This window comes from Homo sapiens, chromosome 8 (genome assembly GCF_000001405.40).
Source record: "Homo sapiens chromosome 8, GRCh38.p14 Primary Assembly".
NCBI lineage: Eukaryota > Metazoa > Chordata > Mammalia > Primates > Hominidae > Homo > Homo sapiens.
The window spans coordinates 39,431,431-39,437,680 of NC_000008.11; positions in this window are offsets into that span (position 1 = coordinate 39,431,431).

Genomic DNA, 6,250 nt, shown 5'->3' on the forward strand with positions numbered 1-6,250 from the left:
TTGAGTTAATTTTTGTATATGGCAAATGGAAGGGGACCAGTTTCAATATTGTGCATATGTCTAGTCAGTTATCTCAGCACTGTTTATTGAATAGGGAGTCCTTTCACCATTGTCTGTTATTGTTGACTTTGTCAAATATCAGATAGTCATAGGTTTGTGGCTTTATTTCTGGATCCTCTAACCGTTTCCATTGGTCTACCTATCTGTTTTTGTACCAGTACCATGGTGTTTTGATTACTGTAGCCTTGCAATATAGTTTAAAGTTGGGTACTGTGACACTTCTGGCTTTGTTCCTTTTGCTTAGGATTGCTTTGGCTATTCAGGCCTTTTTTTTTGTTCCACATTAATTTTAGAATAATTTCTTTCTAATTCTGTGAAACATAACACTTGTAGTTTGACAGGAATACTACTGAATGTGCAAGTCATTTTGGGCAGTATCGTCATTTTAACAATATTGATTATTCCTATCCATGATCATGGAAAGTTTTTCCATTTGTTTGTGCCATCTCTGATTTCTTTTTGTAATGTTTTGTAGTTCTTACTGTAGAGAACTTTGTCCATTCTAGTTAGCTGTAGTCCTAGAGATATTTTTTTCTCTTTGTGAGTATTGTAAATGAGATTGCCTTCTTGATTTTACTCTCAGCTTGAATACTATTGGCATATCAAAATACTACTGATTTTTGTACATTAATTTTGTATCCTAAAATTTTACTTATGTTGTTTATCTGTTCTAGGAGCCCTTGGCGGAGTCTTTAGGGTTTAGGTACAGAATCATGTTGCCTGCAAAGAGAGATAGTTGAACTTTCTCTATTTCTATTTGGATGCCTTTAATTTCTTTGTCTTACCTGATTGCTCTGGCTAGGATTTCTAGTACTGTGTTGGATAAGAGTGGTGAGAGTGGGCATCCCTGACTTGTTCCAGTAATTAAAAGGAATGCTTCCAGCTTTTGCCACTTCAGTATGATGTTGGCTGTGAGTTTGTCATAGATGGCTCTTACTATTTTGAGGTATTTTCCTTTAATGTGTAATTTGTTGAAAGTTTTTAACATAGAGGAATGGTTGAATTTTATTGAAATTCTTTTCTGTGTCTATTAAGATGGCAACATGATTTTTGTTTTTAATTATGTTTATGTGGTGAATCCCCTTTATTGATTTGCATATGTTGAGCCAACCTTGCATCCCTGGAATAAAGCCTACTCAATTGTGGTGAATTAACTTTTTGATTTGCTGGTGGATTTTGTTTGCTAGTATTTTATTGAGGAGTCTTGCATCTATGTTCCTTAGAGATATCGGCCTGAAATTTTCTTTTTTGTTGTGTCTCTGCCAGGTTTTGGTATCAGAATAATGCTGGCTTCATAGAATAAGTTAGGAAGTTGCTCCACCTCCTCAGTTGTCTGGAATAATTTTGATGGGATTTGTACTGCCTTGTCTTTGTATGTCTGGTAGAATTCAGCTGTGAATCTGTCTGGTCCAGGTCTTTTTCTGATAGGTAGGTTTTTTATTAGTGATTCAATTTCAAAGCTCGTTATTGGTGGGTGGGAGTCGGGGCCAAGATGGCTGACTAGAAGCAGTGGCAATCAGAGGCTCTCATCGAAAAGATCCAAAAGAGCATGCAAATCCTGCACTGGTAACTGAGGTATCCAGATCCTGTTATTAGGACTGACTAGGTGACTGGTATGACCCATGGAGAAAAAGGAAGAAGAGTGTGGTGCAGCAGCCCATCAGAGAGCCATACAGGGCAGGGGAGCCCCCACTCCCAGCCAAGGGAGGCAGCGAGTGAGCATGATACCCAGCCTGGGAAACCATGCTCTTTCCATGGAAATGTGCAACCCATGGATTGGAAAATCCCACTTGGGAGCCCATGCCACTGGAGCCTTGGGTCCCAACCATGGAGCCATGCAGATTATCAACATCTTCTAGGCTAGGATCAGCCTAAGCCTGAGTTCCCATGGGGAACACTGCTGTGGCTGCCTGCAGTCTAAGCCATCTGAGCTCCTTGGGGGAGGGGTGGGAGCCAACACTGTGGCTGCAGTGCGTCCCTGCAGGAACTCCAACTCCAGTCAGGGGCTTAGGGACAGAACTATGATCTCTCTGGGCCTGAGCCGCCTTGGGGAAAGGTGGCCATATGCTCCATGGACCAGCAGAGTTAGTCTTTTCTCCTGCTAGATCTGAGGAATCTGGGCAGCCCAGATGAGTGGGTTTTCCCCCAGCACAGCACACTCTTTCCACCAAGGGACAGCCAAAGTGCCTCATTAAATAGGCCCTGCTTCCCATGCCACTCAACTGGGTGAGACCCCCCCAACAGGGATTGTCAGACAACTCATACAAGGGTGTTCCTACTGGCATTAGGTCAGTGCCCCTCGAGGTCAGGGATCCCAGAGAAAGGAGCAGGTAACCATTTTTGCTGTTCTCCAGCCTCTTCGAGTGACATCTCTAGGTATGGGAGCAAACCAGATGAATAGGGCCTGAAGTGAAACCCCAGAAAACTGCAGCAGCCTTAGAGAAGAGAGACCTGACTATTGAAAGAAACAACAACAACAACAACAACAAAAACAAACACAAAACAACAACAGCAGCATCATCAACAAAAAACGTCTCCGCAAAAACCTCATCCAAGTGTCATCTGAGGACAGCCTCAAAGATCGAAACTAGACAAATTCTTGAAGATGAGAAAGAATCAATAAAAGAACATTGAAAACCAAAAGGTCAGAGTGGCTTGTCTCCTCCAGATGATCACAGCACCTCTCCAGCAAGGCTCCAGAACTGGACAGAGGGTGAGATGGACTAATTGACAGAAGTAGGCTTCAGAAGGTGGGTAATAACAAACTTCACTGAGGTAAGCAGCATGCTCTAACCCAATTCAAAGAAGCTAAGAACCTTGATAAAAGGTTAGAGGAGCTGTTAACTAGAATAACTAGTTTAGAGAGAAACATAAATGGCCTGATGGAGCTGAAAAACACAGCATGAGCACTTCATGAAGCATACACAGGTATCAATAGCCAAATCAAGCAAGCAGAAGAAAGAATATCAGAGATGGAAGACTATATTGCTGAAATAAGGCAGGTAGAAAAGATTAGAGAAGAATGAAAAGGAATGAAGAAAACCTTCAAGAAATATGGGACTATGTAAAAAGACCAAGCCTACGACTGATTGGAGTACCTGAAAGAGACAGGGATAATGGAACCAAGCTGGAAAACACACTTTAAAATATTAACCAGAAGCACTTCCAGCCTAGCAAGAAGGCCAACATTCAAATTCAGGAAAAACAGAGAACCCCATTAAGATACTCTACAAGAAAATCAAGCCCAAGACATGTAATTATCAGGTTCTCCAATGTCAAAATGAAGGAAAAAAATATTAAGGGCAGCCAGAGAGAAAGGCCAGGTCACCTACAAAGGGAAGCCCATCAGACTAACAGTGGATGTCTCAGCAGAAACCTTACAAGCCAGAAGAAAGTGGGGACCAATATTCAACATTTTTAAAGAAAAGAATTTTCAACCCAGAATTTCATATCCAGCCAAACTAAGCTTCGTAAGTGAAAGAGAAATAAAATCCTTTTCAGACAAGCAAATACTGAGGGAATTCATCACCACAAGATCTTCCTTGCAAGAACTCCTGAAGGAGGAGCTAAATATGGAAAGGAAAAACTGGTACCAGCCATTGCAAAACACATGAAGATATAAAAACCAATGATACTATGAAGAAATGACATCAACTAGTGTGCAAAATAACCAGCTAGCTTCATGATGAGAGGATCAAATTCACACATAACAATATTAACCTTAAATGTAAATGAGCTAAACACCCCAATTAAAAGACAGACTCAAAAACTGGATAAAGAGTCAAGACCCATTGGTGTGCTGTATTCAAGAGACCCATCTCATGTGCAAAGACACACATAGGGTCAAAATAAAGAGATGGAGGAATATTTACCAAGAAAATGGAGAGCAGAAAAAAGCAGGAGTTGCCATCCTACTCTCTGACAAAACAGACTTTAAACCAACTAAGTTAGAAAAAGACAAAAAAGGGCATTACATAATGGTAAAGGGATCAATTCAACAAGAAGAGCTAACTACCCTAAATATGTATGCACCCAATACAGGAGCACCCAGATTCATAAAACAAGTTCTTACAGACCTGCAAAGAGACTTAGACTCCCATGCAAGAATAGTGGGAGATTTTAACACCTCACTCTCAATATTAGACAGATCAATGAGACAGAAAATTAACAAGGATATGCAGGAGTTGAACTCAGCTCTGAATCAAGTGGGCCTAATAGATATCTACAGAACTCTCCACCCCAAAGCAACAGAATATACATTCTTCTCAGTGCCACATGACACTTATTCTAAAATCCACCACAGAATTGGAAGATTCTGCAAATTCAAAGAACTGAAATTATAACAGTTTCTCAGATGACAGTGCAATCAAATTAGAACTTAGGATTAAGACACTCAAAACCACACAACTACATGTAAGTTGAACAACCTGTTCCTGAATGACTCCAGGTGAAATAATGAAATTAAGGCAGAAATCAAGAAGTTCTTTGAAACCAATGAGAACAAAGAGACAATATACCAGAATCCCTTGGACACAGCTAAAGCAGTTTTAAGAGGGAAATGTATAACACTAAATGCCCACACCAGAAAGCTAGAAAGATCTCAAATTGACACCATAATTAAAGAATTAGAGAAGCAGGAGCAAACAAATCCAAAGGCAGCAGAAGACAAGAAATAAATAAGATCAGAGCTGAACTGAAGGAGAGAGATGAAAAACCCTTCCAAAAAATCCATAGCTCCAGGAGCTGTTTTTTTTTTTTGAAAAAATTAATAAAATAGACTGCTAGGTAGATTAATAAAGAAGAAAAGAGAGAAGAATCAAATAGACACAATAAAAAATGATAAAGGGAATATCACTGCTGACCCCACAGAAATACAAACTACTATCAGAAAATACTATACACTACTCTATTCAAATCAATTAGAAAATCTACAGGAAATGAATACATTCCTGGACACATACACCCTTCCAAGACTAAACCAGGAAGAAGTCCAGTCCCTGAATAGACCAATAACAAGTTCTGAAATTGAAGCAGTAATAAATAGCCTACCAACGAAAAAAAGCCTGGAACCAGACAGATTCAAAGCCAAATTCTACCAGAGGTACAAAGAGGAGCTGGTTACCATTCCTTCAGAAATGATTCCAAACAATTGGAATCATAGGTGGGACTCCTCCCTAATTCATTTTATGAGGCCAGCATCATCTTGATACCAAAACTTGACAGAGATACAACAAAAAAAGAAAATTCAGGCCAATATCCCTGATGAATATTGGTGCAAACGTCCTTGATAAAATACTGGCAAACCGAATCCAGCAGCACATCAAAAAGCTTATCCACCATGATCAAGTTGGCTTCCTCCCTGGGATGCAAGGTTGGTTCAACATATGCAAATCAATAAATGTAATTCATTACATAAACCGAACCAATGACAAAAATCCCATGATTATCTCAACAGATGCAGGAAAGACCTTCAATAAAATTCAACATCCCTTCATGTTAAAAACTCTCAATAAACTAGGTATTGATGAAACACACCTAAAAATAATAAGAGTCATATATGACAAACCCACAGCCAATATCATACTTAATGGGCAAAAGCTGGAAGCATTCCCTCTGAAATCCTGCATCCTATTCAACATAGTATTGGAAGTTCTGGCCAGGGCCATCAAGAAAGAGAAGGAAATAAAGGTATTCAAATAGGAAGATAGGAAGTAAAATTGTCTCTGTTTTCAGACAACATGATCCTATATTTAGAAAACCCCATCATTTCAGCCCCAAAACTCCTTAAGCTGATAAGCAACTTCAGCAAAATCTCAGGATACAAAATCAATGTGCAAAAATCACAAGCATTCCTATACACAAACAATTGAAAAGCAGAGGGCCAAATTATGAATGAACTCCCATTACAACTGCTACAAAGAGAATAAAGTACCTAGGAATACAGCTAGCAGGAGATGTGAAGGACCTCTTCAAGGAAAACTACAAACCGCTGCTCAAGGAAATAAGAGAAGACACAAACAAATGGAAAAACATTCCATCCTCATGGATAGGAAGGATCAATATTGTGAAAATGGCCATACTGCCCAAAGTAATTTATAGATTCAATGGTATTTCCATCAAACTACCATTTACATTCTTCACAGAATTAGAAAAGCTACTTTAAAATTCATATGGAACCATAAAAAAAGCC